General features: G+C 41.4%; 2 long non-coding RNA genes across 2 annotated transcripts; one reads left to right on the forward strand and one right to left on the reverse strand.

The window, feature by feature from the left end:
- Positions 1 to 1794: 1794 nt before the first annotated feature.
- On the reverse strand, positions 1795 to 19684 carry LOC105369956 (uncharacterized). Its single transcript, XR_945297.3, has 3 exons — positions 19332 to 19684; positions 18355 to 18495; positions 1795 to 2233 (listed from the first exon to the last, which is right to left on the reverse strand). It is a non-coding gene; the product is annotated as an uncharacterized LOC105369956 (long non-coding RNA).
- Positions 2092 to 18367, forward strand: LOC105369955 (uncharacterized). The gene is made up of 3 exons (XR_945295.3): positions 2092 to 2443; positions 5529 to 5625; positions 17662 to 18367. It is a non-coding gene; the product is annotated as an uncharacterized LOC105369955 (long non-coding RNA).
- Positions 19685 to 21051: the final 1367 nt, after the last annotated feature.

Below are 21051 nucleotides of genomic sequence, written 5' to 3' on the forward strand. Positions count from 1 at the left end.
TGAATTAGTTATTGCAGTGCAACCTACAGATCAACACATCAAAAACCCAGCTTATCATCTGGATCCTTAAATAAGATCCTCATTCCTGAATCCTTCCCTTCTGCTCTTGGGTCCCACGCATCCCAGCAGGTACTAAAATGGCCTTGATTCCATATCCATTTTTATTCTCACTTGATGCTCGGATCAATAAAATGACCTCCTCACCTCCCTTGTGAATTCTGGATCACTGAGGATGAAAATCTGGAATCCCACAGTTATAAGTCTTATAAACTGCATGAACTTGAGTAAATAACCTTCCTAAGCCTCAGCTTCCTCATCTGTAAAATCTTTTTTTTTTTTTGTGATGGAGTCTCGCTCTGTCACTCAGGCTGGAGTGCAGTGGTGTGATCTCGGCTCAGTGCAAGCTCCGCCTCCCAGGTTCACGCCATCCTCCTGCCTCAGCCTCCCGAGTAGCTGGGACTACAGGTGCCTGCCACCACGCCCTGCTATTTTTTTTGTATTTTTTGGTAGAGACGGAGTTTAACCGTGTTAGCCAGGATGGTCTCCATCTCCTGACCTTGTGATCTGCCTGCGTCAGCCTCCCAAAGTGTTGGGATTACAGGCGTGAGCCACCACGCCGGGCCTAAAATCATTTTTTTTAAACGTATTATTTCAATTTAAATCACACGTCCCTTTGATAAAGGACTCAACCTTTGGAGCAAGGTGTGGGCAGTCAGGTTTGTATGATCTGCTGGGCTGACTACTCTGTACTGTCTCTCCTATCCCATTTGACTCTAGTTTATGATTCACTTCACTTTCTTTCTCCCCCCATTCGGCAGCAGATATTTTTGATTTAGAGAGTGTTGGCCAACTCTGTAGAAACGCTACTTTCACACCTGTGGAATATCATATTGCCTGACATTCACTTCTGTAGCACTTCTAATCCTCTCTGGCTCTGGGATATGTAATTATATACACCCCTTCTCAGCTCTGACTGCTGCAGTCCCACTGCTGGATTGCTCGTCTGTTTCCTCTTTACCTTCCAGTGACCCCTACAGGGGTTGTTACCTGGGAGGTGTATTTCTCAATACCGAGGCGAATGCACTAGATGCCATCACAGGCTCATCTATAGGAGCCAACGGGTATGTGGTGAGTTACCTGTGGGGCAGGACTTTACTGTGAGTGGCTAAGCAACCCCGTATAGGGTGATATAAGGACTCAGAGAGACAGGGAACACACCTGGTTGACCATACTGCATACCTGTTCTGTCCAATATGACAGTCACTAGCCACAGCCACATGTGGTGATTTAAATAAAAAATAATTAAAATTTTTAGTCCTTAATTGTACTAACTACATTTCAAGTGCCCAGTAGCCACTTGTAGCTAGTGTCTTCCACTTTGGACAGCACAGTTACATCATCCTAGGAAATTCTACCTAATAGCACTACTCTAAAGTGGGGAAACAGGAGCAGGCATGCTGGGCTCTCAGCCAGCCAGAGAGAAACAAGGGCTTTGACCCCTCAGCCAATATGATGTGGGCTGGGGAAACTGGCTTGGTTTCAGAGGTAGACACTGGACATGGCAGTGCAAAGCATCCAAGGAGTGTACAAGTTGAGTTAAGCATCCTTAATGCTATGAAGGGAGGGTGGTCTAATATTTTTGGCCAACCACAATGTTGAGATATTCATGGCAGATGGGAGCCCCCAGGAGACAAGCCCCATACTGAGCACTTTATGTAGATTATTTCATTCAACCTTAAAGGGAGAGAATATTACATTGACTTTATAAATAAGGAAACTGAGCCTCAGAGCAGTGAGTCTAACTGTAAGCTCTTCTTAACTGCCCTGTACTGCCTTAATATTGGGTAAGAAGGACTTGCGTTCTGGGGGAGCAGCAGTCTGAGCTCTTGGTGGGAAGTTGGCTTGGATCAAGCAGAGTGGCTCAGATTGGGGCTTGGGCCAGCTCTTCAACTCTCAGAGGACTGAAATGTAAGACAGAGGAGCAGGCTGGGGCAAGGTGGGGATGGGACAGACTTAACTTTGGGGGTGATGCAGATGTCTCGGGGTGCATGCAGATGTTACAGGTGATGCATTCTGCACATCCAAGAACAGGAATGCAAGTCCTCTGAGGGTAGGGCTGTGCAGTAATGGTTACGAGTGGAACTTGGGGCTACACAGCCCTTCTCTGAATTCCAGTCTTGCCATTTATTACTTTGCAACAGCTGAGGTGACCTTTCTGTTTCAGTTTTCTCATCTGTAAAATGAATATGATAAAATGGCAATTATTATTATCATTATCTTTGTAGGCTGAGATATAAATATCATCCTTAGCATAAGTAGCCTTTCCATACAAATGGAATGAAATTGAATCCGGTTGTGAGGATTGGAGAATGTAAGCTGAAACAAAGCTCTACCTGGATAAAAAGAGAGACTTCCTCAGGCATGTACTAGGGCAATGATAAGAGTAAGTTAATAATTTACTTCAGGCTCACCAAAATCAGTAGTTTAGTTTTGCTGTTGGAAACCCCGGAGATGTGTCCGTTTGCTGTAAAAATGACCATCCCATACCACCATTTTGTGACCATTGGCTTTAGCAATATTACAAATTATATTAGTATTAATTAATTATGAATTAATTACTTGGCTCAAACTAGAAATTGCCAAATTATTCTCCTTTGGGTGGGCACAACATATTGTATCTGTACACACAGAATAGTTTAGAACCATTTAGTTTAATTCAGTTAAAAATCAGTTATTTTGAAAATATTCAGTTTCCAGATATTCAAGCAAAATCTCAAAATAATTTGTGTAATCCTACGAATTGGCACATGAAAGTTCTTCAGAGTTGGCCAGACTCATATTCTGTCTGCTTGATAACACTAGTGGGTTTTTGGTAGAGAGACAGTTTTATCCTGTGTGTATATTTCAACATTAAATTCAAGATTAGAGATATTGTGATCAAGGTCACCACCACTAACAGCGTTGTTAACAAATACTATTGGATGTCTGTTATGGATGCTAATCTTCCCTGCCCAGTACCACATGGCCAACGTATAGACGCAATCCTACCTCAGTTCCCAAGTTAAACAAAGACTCTGCTTTCAGCAAATGCATTTCAGAGAGTTTAGTTGTTAAATCACTCAGACTGATGAACTCTTTGAGCATTTTACTTCTCAAGAGGTGAGGTTTCTTGCAATGGGTGCCTCAGTTGAGTCCTCCAGGCAAGAGGGCTAAGGGCAGAATATATAAATCTTGCCTTCTGTTGTCTGGTGTGTGTGTGTGTGTGTGTGTGTTTGTGTACATGTGCACTAGTGATGGAGAGATATACCTGTCCCAGGACTCAGATTTGGTATCTACTTGAGTTGCTGTCACACAGTCCTGTGTGACTGTGTAGATAAGCTTTCATGAGGAGCCTAGACATTTTAAAGTCACATTCATTGGTAGGGTGACCCAAAGAAGCAATGCCCCAGTACTGACTTCTGATCTCCTGTCTGAGAACCAGAGTCCTGTCCTGAGGTGGAGTATCAACTATGAACCACTGGTTTCCTGTGTTAGTCACCAAGTCATAGCTCACTTTCTTGGCATGCCCTGTTTTGCCTGTAGGGGACCAACTCTTGGGTCTCTGAAGCTCAGTGTTCCTTTTTCCTTCTCCCCAGTTTGTCTACCATCAGTTCCAGTTAATAAGGCAAACACTGGCTTTGGCTTCTTTACAGGGCCTTCCAGTGCTCTCTCTTGTCTGGTTCTACTCTCCTTCCTGGGCACATGGGATAACTTTGTTTCCTAGCCACTTTGTACTCAGGTGTGCCACAGATTAGTTCTAACCAATGAAATGTGAATGACACCAATGTGTGTCACTCATAGGCCAAAATATTTAAGAGCCAGTGTACCACCATCTAAATTATTTATCCTCCCTCAACATGTAGTAAGTGCTCAATAAATGACAACCATTGGGATTATGATTCAGTGGAGAAATGTGAAGACATTCCTTGCTAAAGGGATGGCTTGAGAAAATATCTGGAAACAAGAATAGGGTTATTTGTTGCTTATTTAGAGAATGGAAAGAGATCAACTTAAATAGAGCAGAGGAGTGAGCAAAGTAGAAGGGAATGATGTTGAAAGTGTCTAGAACCATGAACCTGGGTTGGATTACTACCTTTCCTCCATTAGCTGTATGTCCTTGGACAAGTTAGTTAGCCTCCTCAAGGATTGGGTTCCTCATCTGTGATGTGAGGGGAATGTATGATACATATACAGAGTATTCTGAATACTAATATGGCAAAATTGCTTTATAAGCCAAACAATGTTAAAACAAACTAAACAATACCTCTCCAATATATTTTATAACATTGTAGAAGGATGAGTATGAATTTTGCCTCGAATTAGCCCATTTCTTTCATCCATCCATGCATCCATTCATCCATCCATCCACAATAATTGAATACTCACTACATATGAAGCACTGCAAGCAATGGTGAGTCATTGAAAGAGAGAGAGAGAGAATGAGAGAGAGCACATGTGTGCTTATGTATGTATTAGGTTGACCTGTTAGATTGAACTGTCTCAGTTTTCCTGGAACTGAGGAGTTTCCTGAGACATGGGACTTTCATGCTAAATCCAGGAAAGTCCTAGGCAAATTGGGATAAAATGGTTATGTGAGTGTGTGTTTGTGTGTGTGTGTGTGTGTGGTGACACTTTGAGAAATTTTGGCACTGAGATATAGGATGGTTTTGCAACAGGGAGAAACTAAAGACAGTTCATTAGGAGAATATTTCAGTATTTTTGGTATGAGGTGATGAAGCCTAAATGAGGAGACTGGGAGAGGCAGAAATGGAAAAGAGGTTGACAGCCATCAGTGATGTTTTAAAGCAAAATCCAACAGGATCTCCAAATGGATCAGAAGCATCCCAGACCATTGCTTATGCCTGCTTATTGCATCGAGGTGAACCATTTGTTAGCCATCAAAAGGTATTAAAGTGATACATGGTTTCAAAAGTTCCTAAAAGTATGCTAAATAATTTAAAAACTAAGTTCCAATTTTCTCTCTCCTTCAAGGTTTTTGGGAAAGAAGATGGGTTGGAAATGGGAGGGTTTGGGGAGGAGGGTAGAGCCCTGGAGGAAAGACTAGTACCCTGTGTTTCTCTGCCAATCCCAGCTGTGCTGATCCCTGCCTGGAGCAACAGGACACAGAGCCCTTGCCAGGATGCTGCTCTGTTCTCACTAATGGCAGCAGAGAGGCGGAGATAGGCAGGCCATATATCCTGTCCCTGCCCTCCCCTTTATGCCACAAAGCCTGGCTGTTCCAGTCTGTATCTGAGCATCAGACTTCAGTGCAGGATTGAGGATAACAAACAGGGAGGCACTTTGAAATTGTGTGCTAATTATTACTAATAATATTCCCACCCCAAGAAAAAGCCCGCAGGGAGTTAAAACTCTTCACGTCCTGTTGGGCTCAATGGGAATCCCCATTTCCTAACATCAACTGTTTGTCCCAGGTAAGGCCTCTCTGAGTACATACTTCTTCTGTTGTGTTCTCTATGTCCAACTTTCAGAAAACGTCTGCTCACAGGAGCAATCCTTCCTTTCCAAGTGGACCACTTCCTATGTCTGAGTTATTGAGAGAAATTGCCCTGGAGCATTGCTGCAGTGGTAAGTCCACAGCTGCCCTCAGGTATTGTGTTTTTAGCACAGCCTGGGGAAGAGTGGGGTGTGGTAGGGCTGGCTGAGTCTTAATACTCTAAGCTCCATGGTGAAGTCCATGGTGCAGTCCATGGTGGTCCTCGGCACCCACATGAAGTATTGTTGGAGGTCCCCACAGCAGCGTGAGTTGTAGCCTAGACTCTTTCATTCTTCTGATTTTCCAGCTAGTAATTGTTGGAACCCTCCCACCTCAAACACCACATACACACCCACCACACACACACACACACACACACACACACACACACCCTTCCCAAGAAGCAGTGTGAATTCTCAATTATAGCATAGTCAAATCTCAAATGGTAGCAAAGCATCTTTCCCATGACGAAGTTCCTGCCCATTTTCCTTGACTGGCTTTCAAATGATATGCTTTCAAAGCATAATCAGGAAAAGATAAGGCTTCATGCACGATCTGCAGGACTGTTTCTGGTGATCTTCAAATTATGCCCCCATCTGCCAGGTGCAGTGGCTCACGCCTGTAATCCTAGCACTTTGGGAGGCTGAGGGGTGTGGATCACTTGAGGTCAGGAGTTTGAGACCAGCCTGGCCAACATGGTGAAACCCTGTCTCTACTAAAAATACAAAAATTAGCTGGGCATGGGGCACGCACTTGTAATCCCAGCTACTCAGGAGGCTGAGGTGGGAGAATCGCTTGAACCCGGGAGGCGGAGGTTGCAGCGAGCCGAGATGGCGCCACTGCACTCCAGCCTGGGTGACAGAGAAAGACTCTGTCTCAAAAAAGAGAAACAAAAATTATGCTCCCTCTAGCCTACTGGAAATAAAAAAAAAAAACATATTCTATCCCGAGCTTCACAGAGACCCAGGGGAAGCTTTGGAATTACCATTAACAAGAGCCCAGTTATGTTCTTAGGGGTCATTTGCTTCCTCTCTTTCTGGAAAAGGAAGCTGATTAGGTTCATTTCTCCAGCTACATAACTGGGTCCATTCATATTTATCATCTTTATGCATATCTGATTGCAAAGAATCACAGTACTAGTCTTATTATACACTTAGGTGTTTAGGCTTATGTTAATCATTCTTAACCTGACATAATCCCCGTAAGCCTATTAAAATGGTCACTTTTGTGGCTTTAAGTTTACCAACACAATAGTTCATCTAAGTTTCAAACAAGAAAAACAATGCTGATATTCAGAGAAATGGACTCTTAATGTCGCTCAGCTAGTAAATGATTATTAATTGGAAATAATTGATCAAACACTTTTACAAGTATCCTAAGAACCATTCTCTGTTTAACCTAGAGCAAAGACCTCCCTATTCTTCTTGGAGCAAATAACAATTATTTTGCAAACAAAATTAGAGAAGATTTAAAAATGGGAAAATGGTTGCGTTGGACTTTGTTTTTGATTATCTGCTCCATCACTGCCCCTTCCCCTGCACTATTCAATCTGTAACTCAGAAAGAGAGTTCAGCTGGCTGATCTGTGAGTTATTGAAGTTTTGGCTTAGAAAGGAAATCTGATCTCTGTCTAAGTGGCACTAATGTGTGGGCTGAGAGCTGCTACTGTAAATTCAGCAAGGGATTCATTAATGCTGTGAGCCTCCTGGAGCACTGTAGATGGGTGACCTCTGAAATAAAAGCATAATAAGAAAAAGATAAGGCTTCATGCATGATCTGCAAGACTGTTTCTGGTGATCTTCAAGATATCTTAAGTCAGGAGTACTTAGGGCTGGAAAGCCAGGAATTGTGAGGGGGCGGGGGAAGACCACCCAAAGTTTCAATGATATCATACAATTGATTCTTGGCTTTTTAACACTCTTTGGAAAAGCTCTCTCTTTTTTTCTCTCTCTCACACTATTTTCTTTGCTGAGAAAAACAGACTGCTGTTTTTGAAATTTTGATGATGCAGTTAACAAAGCTTGTAAATTGCTTATGGGAAGACATAGCTGGAAAATACCAGTTAGAATCCTACAGGGAGACCCAGTTGTTGGGGTGTCAGTCAGCTTTGTCAGATTCTGACTTTGGCATGGGTTATGGGGTTGGGGATGTAGAGGGACAATGGGGCTGCCAGAGTAGCCTTCTTGGAGTTTCCTCTCATGATATCAAAGCTACCCTGACCACAGGATATATTGTTTTTATTGCAAATTGACTTTGTGAGTTTGAATTTCAAGTCAGCTAAGCCATGCACCCCTTAACAAAGGGGATACATTCTGAGAAATGTGTTGTTAGGTGATTTGATTTGTTATGCAAACAAATAGAGTGCATTTACACGAACATAGGTGGTATAGTCTAGTCTATTACACACCTGGGCTATATGATATGGCCTATTGCTCCTAGGCCACAAAACTGTAGAGTGTATTACCGTACTGGACACTGTAGGCAACTGCAACACAATAGTAAGTATTTATGTATGTAAACATAGAAAAGGTAAAGTAAAAATACAGTATAAAAGATAAAAATGATATACCTGTTAAGGGCACTCACCACGAATAGAGCTTGCAGGACAGGAGGTTGCTGTGGGTGAGTCAATGAGTGAGTGGTGAGTGAATGTGAAGGCCTAGGACATTACTGTAGACCACTGTAGACTTAATAAACACTGTACACTTAGGCTACACTAAATTTTTATAAAAATATTTTATTTCTTCAATAATAAATTAACCTTAGCTTACTGCCACTTTTTAATTTATAAACATTTAAATTTTTTTTTTTTTTGAGATGGAGTCTTGCTCTGTTACCCAGGCTGGAGTGCAGTGGTGCAATGTCAGCTCACTGCAAGCTCCGCCTCCTGGGTTCACGCCATTCTCCTGCCTCATCCTCCCGAGTAGCTGGGACTACAGGCGCCCACCACCACGCCTGACTGATTTTTTGTATTTTTAGTAGAGATGGGGTTTCACCACATTAGCCAGGATGGTCTCGATCTCCTGACCTCGTGATCTGCCCGCTGTTTTAAAAACTTTTTGACTGTCATAATAACACAGCTTAAAATGCAAAAACACTGTACAGCTGCACAAGACTATTTTCTTTATATCCTCATTCAATAAATTTTTTTCTATTTTTAATTTTTTTTAACTTTTAAAACTTTTTTTTTTTATTAACAACTAAGACATAGGTACAAACATTAGACCAGGCCTGCACAGGGTCAGAATCATCAAGACATCACTAAGCAATAGATACTTTTCAGTCCCCTTATAATCTCATGGGACCACTGTTGTATTTGTGGTCCATTGTTGACCAAAACAGTGTTATGTGTTGTATTGTGAGAGTAGGTTTGTTATTGTCTTAGTCCTTTTTCTGCTGCAATAACAAAATATCAGACTGGGTAATTTATAAAGAAAAGAGATTTATTTGGCTTATCATTCTGGAGCTTGGGAAGTCCAAGATTGAGGGGTTGCATCTGGTGACGGCCTTCTTGCTGCATCAAAACATGGCAGAAGACATTACATGGCAAGAGAACAAATGTGTGTGAGAGACAAATGGGGGTCAAAGCTCATCCTTTTACCAGGAACCCACTCCCATGCGAACTAACCCACTTTCGCGATAACTGCATTGATTTATTCATGGGCTACTCACCTCTTAAAAGTCCCACCTCTCAATACTGTTATAATGGAAATTAAATTTCAACATGGGTTTTGGAGGGGACACTCAATCCATGGCATTTCCACTCCTGATCCCCCAAAATTCATACCCTTCTCACATACAAAATACATGCATTCTATCCCAAAGGTCCCAAAAGTCTTAACTCATTTCAGCAACAACTCAAGAGTCTCATCTAAATCAGATATAGGTGAGACTCAAGACATGATTCATTCTGAGTCAAATTTCCTCCAGTTGTGAGCCTGTGAACTAAAAGCATGTTGTCTACTTTCAAAATACAATGGTGGGACAGTCATAGGAAAGACATTCCCATTCCATTCCAAAAGGGGGAAATAGGCAAGAAAAGGGGTAACTGAACCCAAGTAAGTCCAAAACCTAACAGAAAACAACATTTTCCCTGGAGAATGTTGGGTAATCATACCCTTTGACTTTGTATTCTACATCCTGGGCACACTGGGGTGGGGGTTTAGCCCACAAGGCCTCAGGCAGCCCTGTCCCCATGGCTTTGCTAGGCTCAGCTCATATTTGAGCTCTCTTTGGTTGGGGTCTTGTGCCTGCAGCTTTCTTAGGCAAGCATTGCATGCTGGTAGTGCTACAGTTCTGGGGTCTCTGAGGTGGTTTTGCTCCCATGGCTCCACTGGGCATTGCCTTAGTGAGGACTCTCTGTGGTGACTTTGACACCATATTTCTGCTTGGCATTGCTCTGGTAGGAGCTCTCTGCTGTAGCTGTGCCCAAGTGACAAGCCTCTACCTAGTCCCCAGGCTGTTTACAAAATCATTCGAAATCTAGATGGAGGCCACCATGGCTTCGTAGCTAATCCACTCTGGATATCTACAGAATTAGCACCATGAGGATGACACCAGGATTTAATCCTTGAGCCCTCTAGGGCTGTGGCTTGAGACATACAAAGGCCCACTTGAACCATGGCTGGGGTGGCTGAGGGATGCTGAGGGAAGCAGAGTCCTGAGGCAGCCCTGGATAATGAGCCCATGGAGGATGCCCTGGGCTTTTTCCCTGAAACCATTCTTCCTTCCTAGAGCTTTGCCTGTGATGGGAAGTGTAGCCTCAAAAATGTTTGAAATGTCTTTGGGGTCTTTCTTCCATTGTCTTGATGAATAGTAGTACCTGGCTCCTTTCTAGCCATTTTAATCTCTTGAGCAAACAGTCTCTTGGCCACACCCTTATTTTTCTTTCCCTGACATGCTTTTTTACTCTTTACATGGCCAGGCTTTGAATGTTCTGAATCTTTTTGTTCTGCCTCTTTTTTTTTTTGAGATGGAGTCTTGCTCTGTTGCCCAGGCTGGAGTGCAGTGGCACGATCTCGGCTCACTGCAACCTCTGCCTCCTGGGTTCAAGTGATTCTTTTGCCTCAGGCTCCTGAGTAGCTGGGACTACAGGTGTGCGCCACCACGCCCGGCTAATTTTTGTATTTTTAGTAGAGATGGGATTTCACCTTATTGGCCAGGCTGGTCTCAAACTCCTGACTTTGTGATCCACTTGCCTCAGCCTCCCAAAGTGCTGGGATTACAGGGGTGAGCCACCGTGCTCAGCTGCCTCTATTTTAATTATAAAGTTCATCTTTAAGTTATTTCTCTCCTTTCACGTCTCACTGTATATGGTTAAAAGTAGCCATGCAGCAGCCTGGCAGCCTGAATGCTTTGCTGCATAGATATTTCTTCCACTAGATATTCTAGTTGATCTCTCTTAAGTTCTGCATTTTGTAAAGACCTAGAACATGGACACAATTTGGCCAAGTTATTTGCAACTGCATAGCAAGGATGGCCTTTACTTCAGTTTCCAATATGTTGTTCCTCATTTCTGTCTGATACCTCATCAGAATGGCCTTTACCATTTGTATTTCTATCAACATTTTGGTCATGACCACTTAAGTAATCTCTAAGACATTACAGAATTTTTTTGGTCTTCTTCTCTTCTTAGCCCTCACTGAAATTGTCCTTAACACTTTATTCATAGCAATCTAGGCTTTTTCTAGCCTGCTCCTCCAAATTCTCCCGGCTTCTACACATTACCCAGTTCCAAAGCTGCTTCTGCATTTTCAGGTATTTGTTATAGTAACAGCTCCACTTCTCTGTACCAATTTTCTGTCTTAATTTGTTTTCTCCTACTATAACAGAATACCTAAGACTAGGTAGTTTATAAAGAACAGAGATGTATTGCTTACAGGTCTGGAGGGTGGGAAGTGTAAGGTGGAGGGTCTCATATCTTGCAAGGGTGGTCATGCTGCATCATCCCATGATAGAAGGCAGAAGGGCAAGAGAGCATGAGAGAGAGGAGGGAGAGAGGGAAAGAGAGAGAGAGACAGAGAGAAAAAACAACAGAGAGCTGAACTCACTTTTATAACTGCTTTGGCTTTAATGTCATTCCAAAACTCATGTTGAAATTTATTGCCATTGTAACAATATTCAGAGGTGGGATCTTTAAGAGGTGATTAGGTCATAAGACCTAATCAATGGGGTGAATGAATCTTGCAGTGGTTGGAACTTTGATCTCTTTCATTGAGCTCCCAGATGCTGAGTTTATAATTTTAATTTCTAGGATTAAGAAACTCTTCTTAGGTGCCCAAATTGGAAAAAAAAATGTATATGGTTGGTGGAAGTCTTTTCGTACTAGCACTGCTGTTTGCCTCTCTTGTCATATTTGTTGTCTATCAGGAAGAGAAAATTCATAGGGAAGTAGACAAGCATAGGCACTGAAATAAGCCCTTTCCTTAAGCAGGCCATGGGGACTGAGAAGTTCAGTTCAAAAAGGAGCACTTTAAACTTCCAATGGTCCTCATTTCTTAATGCTTATAAAAAAAATCTGAAATATTCAGATTCCAAAATCTTTTTTCTAAGATATTACTTGGCCAAAGCAAAATTTTAAATAATCTTAAATCAATTTCTCTCTTTAGACCCTCCTGAATCACAATTTTAACCTAATAATAGCCTACTCTCCCCAAATCCTATACGCTTCCATTTCCTTCTGCCCCATTTATCCCTCTGATTTGCTCTTCCTCCCTCTAGGCTCTCCTGCATCACCTTAAGCTCCATTGTCTCTTAGAGTTAAATCTCCCTCAGAACAAACAAAACCCTTTTCTGTTGATTTCAAACCCTGGTCTCAGTCTTAGCTGAGAGCCATTGTCAAAAGACTTTTCAAAGCCCAGACAGGACAGGGAGAAATTTGCAGAGAAATTATCTTATGAATGTATAATGCAGGACTCACTAATCTTATCAATAAGTTCATGTGCTAGTGGTAATCTTACATGCTAAGGACTGGATAGAAAGAGCAGGGTTGGAAGCTCTCAAGAATGATTTAAAAGGACCCTGGCTTTTACAGAAAATCAGAGGGCCTTAGAAAAGCTGTAAATGTTGGATAAGGTCTTTTGGAGTCTAACCCAAAGTCTTCTCTATGAAGGTAGATTAGACTGTAATCCAGTCGGAAGCAAGGAAAGAATGAGTTCTTTGGAGACTTCAGAGATAGTTCTTTATACCTTTAGACACCATTCAGGAGAAGATCTTGAAGCAGATGCAGCCCTGGCTCTCCATTAACTTTTCACAAATAAATATTGCCAAGTCAGAAGTTGGGTATTTAACACATAAGAATAGATTAGAATAGGAAATGACCCTACTGCCAGAACTCCCAATTCCTTGCTGAGTGCTTTGAAAAGAGCTTAGGACAAAAACGAAGTGGAAATCTGAATAAATTTATGGCCTTACCAATAAAACATCTGGATGCTCCCACATTAGTCATTCAACTCCAAAGGAGGGAGTCTCTTAATAAAGATAGTAGTACATATTTAAAAAAAAGACATTGCAAAAAGAATTGCCCTGTCTTGGCTAAAAAACAGTAGAGAAAATACAGTCTTCCTTCGGTATCCATGAGGAATTGGTTTCAGGATACAAAAATTTGCAGATACTCAAATAACCAGTATAAAGTGGTGTAGTAATTGCATATAACCTACATATAACCTCCTATATACTTTAAATAATCTCCAGATTACTTATAATACCTGTATTCGTCCATTTTCACACTGCTAAAATAACTTCCTTGAGACTGGGTAATTTGTAAAGGAAAGAGGTTTTATTGATTCACAGTTCCACCTGACTAGAGAGGGCTCAGGAAACTTACAATCATAGCAGAAGGCAAAGGGGAAGCACGCACCTTCTTCACAAGGTGGCGAGAGAGAAGAAAGCCAGCAAAGGAGAAATGGTCAACACTTATAAAATCATCAGCTCTCATAAGAACTCACTCACTATCTATCGAGACCATCCTGGCTAACATGGTGAAACCCTGTCTCCACTAAAAATACAAAAAATTAGCCAGGCGTGGTGGCGGGCACCTGTAGTCCCAGCTACTCAGGAGGCTGAGGCAGGAGAATGGCATGAATCTGGGAGGCGGAGCTTGCAGTGAGCCAAGATTGCCCCACTGCACTCCAGCCTGGGTGACAAAGTGAGACTCCATCTCAAAAAAAAAAAAAAAAAAAGAAAAAAAAAAAAGAACTCACTCAGTATCATGAGAACAGCATGGGGTAAACCACCATTGTTATCCAATCACCTCCCACTAGGTCCCTCCCTTGACACATGGGGATTACAATTTGAGATGAGATTTGGGTGAGGACAAAAGGTCAAACCATATCATTTCACCCCTGGCCCCTCCAAAATCTCATGTATTTCTCACATTTCAAAGCAGTCATGGCTTCTGAACAGTTCTCCAAAGTCTTAACTCATTCCAGGATTAACCCAAAAGTCCAAGTCCAAAGTATCATCTGAGACAAGGCAAGTCCCTTCCACCTATGAGCCTATAAAATCAAAAGCCAGTTAGTTACTTCCTAGATACAATGGCATTACAGGCATTAGAAAATGCTTCCATTCCAAATGGGAGAAATTGCCCAAAACAAAGGGGCTACAGGCTCTATGCAAGTCTGATAGCCAACAGGGCAGTGATTAAATCTTAAAGCTCCAAAATAATAGTTTTTGACTTCATGCCTCATATCCAGGGCATGCCAGTGCAAGGGGTGGGCTTGCGTGGCCTTGGGTAGCTCATTCATGGGCTGGTGTTGACTGCCTGCAGCTTTTCCAGGTGCATGATGCAAGCTGTTGGTGGATCTACCACTCTGAGGTCTGGAGGACAGTGGCCCTCTTCTCACAGCTTCACTAGGTAGTGTCCCAGTGAGGATTCTGTGTGGGGACTCCAATCCCACATTTCTCTTCTGCACTGCCCTAGCAGAGGTTCTCCATGAGGGCTCTAACCCTGCAGCAGACTTCTGCCTGGACATTCAGGCATTTCCATACAGCCTCTGAAATCTAGGTGGAGGTTCCCGAATCTCAATTCTTTGTTTATTTATGTATTTATTTACTGTAGAAAGTCAAACAATATAGAGGAGATATTCTGATGTCTCTTCTTCTTCTTCTATTTTTTATTTTACTTTATCAGATACATGTGCAGAACATGCAGGTTTGTTACATAGGTATACATGTGCTATTGTGGTTTGCTCCGCTATCAATCTGTCATCTAGGTTTTAAGCCCCACATACATTAGGTATTTGTCCTAATGCTCTCCCTCCCCTTGCCTCTCACCCCCTGACAGATTCTGGTGTGTGACGTTCCCCTCCCTGTGTCCATGTGGTCTCATTGTTCAGCTCCCACTTATGAGTGAGAACATGAGGTGGCCAAACCTCAATTCTTGACTTCTGTGCACCCACAGGCACAACACCACATGAAATCTGCCAAGGCCTGGGGCTTGCACCCTCTGAAGCAATGGGCTGAGCTGTTTTTAGTCATGGCTGGAGTTGAAGTGGCTGGGATGCAGGGTGCCATGTCCTGAGGCTGCACAGAGCAGCAGGGGCCCTGGGCCCAGCAAGCAAAACCATTTTTATCTCCTAGGCCTCCATGTCTGTGATGAGAGGAACTGCTGTGAAGATCTCTGACATGCCCTGGAGATATTTACCCCATTTTCTTGGTGATTAATATTTGGCTCCTCATTACTTATGCAATTTCTGCAGCTGGCTTGAATTTTTCCCTAGAAAATTGGTTTTTCTTTTCTACCTCGTAGTCAGACTGCAAATTTTCCAAACTTTTATGCTCTGTTTTTTCTTGAATGCTTTGCCACTTAGAAATTTCTTCCACCAGATACCCTAAATCATCTCTCTCAAGTTCAAAGTTCCACAGATCTCTAGGGCAGGGGCAAAATGCCACCAGTCTCTTTGCTAAAGCATAGCAAGAGTGACCATTACTCCAGTTCCCAGTAAGTTACTCATCTCCATCTGAGACCACCTCAGCCTGGACTTCATTGTTCATCTCACTATCAACATTTTGGTCAAAGCCATTCAACAAGTCTCTAGGAAGTTCCAAACTTTCCCACATCTTCCTGTCTTCTTCTGAGCCCTCCAAACTTTTCCAACCTCTGTGCATTACCTGGTTCCAAAGTTTCATCCGCCTTTCAAGCATCTTTATAGCAGTACCCTACTCCTGGTACCAATTTACTGTACTAGTTCATTTTCACACTGCTGTAAAGAACTTCCCTGAGACTGTGTAATTTGTAAAGGAAAGAGGTTTAATTGACTCACAGTTGACATGGCTAGAGAGGCCTCAGGAAACATACAATCATGGCAGAAGGCAAAGGGGAAGCAAGCACCTTCTTCACAAGGTGGCAGGAAATAGAAGAAAGACAGTGAAGGAGGAACTGTCAACACTTTAAAACCATCAGATCTCATGGGAACAGCATGGGGGAAACCACCACCATGATCATCCAGTCATGTCCTACTAGGTCCCTTTCTTTACATGTGGGGATTACAATTCAAGATGAGATTTGGGGACACAGAGCCAAACCATATCCATACCCAATACAATGTAAATTCTGTATAAATATTTGTTATACTGTATTGTTTAGAGCATAATGAAGAGAAAAAGAGTCTACATGTTCAGTACAGATGTACATTTTTTAAAGAATATTTTCAATTTGAGGTTGGTTAAATCCATGAATGTGAAGCCCATGGATGTGGAGAGATGACTCTGTGTAAAAAATGCAGTGACTAATCAATGAGGTGCTCAGAGGAAACTTTAAAGATTAAAGGAGCCCTTCTAATTGATTTATTTGAAATAAGTGCTTCTATCAATTGAATATTTTAAAAAATTCCCAGAAATTAAAAAAATTGAATAAATACTTTTGATATGTTAAAGATGATAATCTTATAGAAACTTAAACGGTCAAAGAGTCTGAGTTTACATGCTTTCAGTGAAATTTTGCAAATGAGACTTATTTTTGGCTTAATGAAAAAGTTATATTTTCTCTGATTTATCAGGGTAAAGTATAATAGAAGCTTATGATTTTATTCTAATTGGGTATATTCTTTTTTGTTTGTTTGTTTGTTTGTTTGTTTTGAGACGGAGTCTCGCTCTGTCGCCCAGGCTGGCACAATCTCGGCTCACTGCAAGCTCTGCCTCCCGGGTTCACGCCATTCTCCTGCCTCAGCCTCCCTAGTAGCTGGGACTACAGGCGCCCATGACCATGCCTGGCTAATTTTTTGTATTTTTAAGTAGAGATGGGGTTTCACCATGTTAGCCAGGATGGTCTCGATCTCCTGACCTTGTGATCCACCTGCCTTGTGATCCAAGTGCTGGGATTACAGGCGTGAGCCACCGCGCCCAGCCTTAATTGGGTATATTCTTAAACTTACACAGGTTAACTGATCAAATAAACTAGGCTTACTTCTATTTAATACTTATGGTTATGAAAAATATGTATTTGTGTTGACTTATTCTGAAAAATTTTACTTCAACACTAATTATGTTTTGTAGTGTTAGACTATTAATTTCCAAGATATTTGGAACTATTAAATTTAGTTAATGAATAGATAGTCATTGGATGACAATATAATTTCTGAGTAAGATAGCATATTAAAACGTCAATTATTAAGCATAACTTAAAGTTTGTATACTTTTGCTTCTTATTTTTATATGCTATCTTTGTGCCTGTTAATGAATGTAATCATTTTTGCCACTTTGAGAAGTTGTATTAGGGTTGTGTGTAGCTGTAGAAAATTGTGTTATATTCATGGGCTCTGCTAGTCTGCAAAGTGCTGATGTGTGACAGTGGACAATTATCCACACTTCCTGCTTACCCCAGTTTTCTCTGGGAAATAAGGTTACTTTGGTTAAAAGTTATAACTGAATATACCTGAATGAGACTCTATTAGGAATAATCTTGGCAGAGAGGTATGTGTTTTTATGCAAGTTAATAATATATGTTTTTGTTAAGGGAAAAAGAAGATTGTAGTATGTGTAAATGCTTCTGAAAAGCTATAAAATATATTAGAATCTTAGCAAAATTTGTTCAATTTTGATGACCTTGTTTCCTTGTTTTACTGCTTATTGTCTTCACCTATAATATAAAGGTTATTTATTTATTTCTTGTCTCATTGATTTATCCTCTAGGAAAAAGAGACCAGTAGATCTTCACTTCAAGGGAATTCTGGATTTTGATTTTTTTCCCTTGCCTTATGTCTCTTTATTCATGCTTATAAGAGGTGTGAAAAGTTGGGGGAATCCTACCTGGTATGGTTAAGAGAATAGCAAGCAATTTAGACAATGCCATGAAGGCCACTGCAGGGTACCAGAATTGTCACCCCAAAATATGTCACTTTGGCATAAGAATTATTTTGAGCTGAAGGAAACTGAGAAATAGCAGGCACAGGAAGAATTCTCTGCTCTCCCCTTTTTTGCTTAAAAGCAGGACTTATATTTCCCTTTGTAAAACTGACATAAATTTCTATTTGTAAAGGTGTTCCCCGTATTAGGAAGAGAAGGATGACTCTCTTCATAACAAACCTTACTAAACAACCCTTATTTACCATACAAGTTCTAGTCACCTTCCCACAGTTTGCTGCCCCTAGGAGCCTAAACCCCAACTTTCCTTTGTCTTGTTACTTCTCTCACGCAGGATTTAGTGCCCGTTGTTAAAATGGTATATAATCCTCCAGGGCTAACTGCTTGTTTGGGGTCTTCACTTGTAAAAATGCCTCTGTCTACATAAAAATTAAAATATTAACATCAAATAAAATTTGTATGCCTTTTTCCTCATTTAATCTGTCTTTTGACAGATTAATTCACAAGTCCCACTCACAGTACCTGAGAGTAGAGAAAAAGGTTTCTTTTTCTCCTCTAAGCCACAGAACTCCTCATCCAAGAAGATGATGAAATTGGACAAGTGGTGGGTTCAGAACAGATCTGCTTTAGACATCATACTGGACTCTGGAGGAAGAACATGTGCTGTTTTAGGAGAAGAATGTCATATGTAAATCTCTGCAGACCTCTCTTAGATTTTTAATATTAATAAAAAGATCTGGGGAAGTAAACAAAGAAATCAGAAACTTAGGTCATTTGGTTAACAACTCCATGTCTGGTCCTGTGAACTCTTCAGATTGGGGGATGGGATCTGTTCTTTTAGTGTAACCTGGATGCCCTTGGCTCCTGACTGAGAAGTGAAGAACAAACTGAACATAATCCTGGTTTAGTATTTGTCTGTGTGGCAGGGTTCACATGTGTGATCTCTGGAGTCATAAAGGCTGTTCCTCAGCAGCTGTCCCATCAAATGTTCTGGCAAAAGGAAGGCAGAAAGAACTGGAAAATCTGATCCTTTTAGAGGTTGAAACAACCACCTCCAGAAACTTAGATGCAATTATTGATAGAATCTTGATATGCAATTATGACACCTCTAATAGTGGTAAAGAGCTGGATTGATTACATCCTCAGAAATCAATGGTTTATCCTTCAACTGAGGCTGAAAAATGACCTCAGGAGGGGCTGAGAACAGAAGTCTCCTTACCTCATATTCAGGCTGGGTGCTGAGAACCAAACACACCCTACTCTGCATTAACATGACATTGTGCTATTCTTGTGTCTTCATTAGAGTGGGCTACACAGGCAGATGTTGATTATTAAAACTTCCTGAAGATTCTTCACCTCTCTTGCTTTGAAATTGTCACGTTGCTGTTTCTAGCAATTCTGAACTGTTGTACCATGAACCTTACCCAATCCTAATCATATCTGGGCTTTCAAAGCCCACCTTAAATCAACTTCCAATTCTTAATAAATTCTGACCTCACCTTCTTCCTGCAAGACACGGCCACAGCTTTGCTAGGTGGTATTGTTACAGTAGATAGTTAGGCAATGGTGAGCAGAGCAGGAGAGCCCCGCGAACTCCCAGCCCAACAATGTCAGGTGACCATCAGGTGATGGTTAGGCAGTTGTTAAACTGTCTCTAAAATGATAATTGGTCCCAGCCAACGCCGGGGAAAGGCAGTCTCCCAGTAGACAGAAAACACCTGAAGCTGCTGATCAGTAGCTTCCCGATAAAATCTCAGGAGCTGGGTAAGCGGGCTCAAGCATGCGCACTAAGAGGCAAAATGGTGGAGTTTAACTGGTGTTTGACCTTCCTCTAGGAACGCTTGACTGGTAAGGGAAGAGCGCGGCGTATGAGCATGTACACAACTAAAGTAAACACACTGCGCATGCAACACCCCCAGGGCTGGCAGGCCATTACGCATGCAGAATGCCAGCGTATAAAACCCTAAGTTAAAGGTCAAACTGCAGACTTGAATCTCTCAAGTGGCCCCCTTGGCCCTCTTACAAGTGTACTTTACTTTCTTTCACTCCTGCTCTAAAACTTGCCTCCGTCTCTCACTCTGTCTTATGCCCTTTCCTTTGCCTTATGTCAAATTCTTTCTCTGAGGAGGCAAGAATTGAGGTTGCTGTAGACCCGTATGGATTTGCTGCTCCTAAGAGTGTTTCCTTTACTGCAGTAAGCAATGAACTCAGCTTTGTCTTATCAAGAGGTTGTGTCTGTGGTATTAGCGGAGCCAGCCTTTGACAGATGTTACAATTGGTTTAAAGGAGAAGTCAAACCACAAAGACTTTTATAGATCAGAAATAATGAAATAAATTTGCAAGCGACTGCAAAACTGGCTTTATTGTCGGGGGAAGAGACAGGTTCTCTCCCTAACAGACAGAATTTATTTTCATGTCTATGGACAAAATTACTGAATGTAAGTACTGTAATTACTACAGTACTTAGATAAATGACTGTAACTTTATTAGGCAGTAATACAGTTACAGAGCTCCCATAGAATCAGAATCAGATTATCTGGAAGGTTATACCCTAGACAATGCATAGTTTTCCATTGAAGCATAAATTTTTCCCTAAACTAGGTTCTGGGTGTGCTGTTCTAGGGGATTTCCCAGACATTATTGCGTTTAATCTTTACCACACCCTACAAGATGAATATTACAATTTCCTTTCTTTCAAAATGAGGAAACTGAGGCTCAGTGAGGTTTTTCAAAAACCACAAAAATGCTCTAATAACGTGTAATATATTTTGGTTAATGCAAACATCATATACTGAAAGGAAAAACTAAAAATTTTTGAATGGCAAGGAGAGAATTACTGGGTGTCATATGGCTGGTGTCATATGGCTGGGTGCTATCCAGTACTTTAATTTGGGTTCTTTAAGTTCATAGTAGTCTGCGCCTTTCACTGTCTTTGAGCTATTTTATAACTCTGTAAATGAAAAAAAAAAAAAAAAACCATAGTAATGTAAATGATTCTCATCCACAGTCAATGCAAATGAATGTTTGGTGGAGAAAACCAGTCTTGCATCTATTAACAAATGCATTTCCTCATTGCTGGGCATTTCTGATTGCCTACATAGGCGTCTGGTCTTTGAATTCTCCTTTGAACCAGTTTAACACCTTAGGGTTTCCTCATTAATTGGTGAATAAAATAAAACCTTTGACGTGTTCATTTTCTATTTGTATGACAGTCATGAT

The sequence above is a fragment of the Homo sapiens genome, chromosome 12, assembly GCF_000001405.40.
Source record: "Homo sapiens chromosome 12, GRCh38.p14 Primary Assembly".
NCBI lineage: Eukaryota > Metazoa > Chordata > Mammalia > Primates > Hominidae > Homo > Homo sapiens.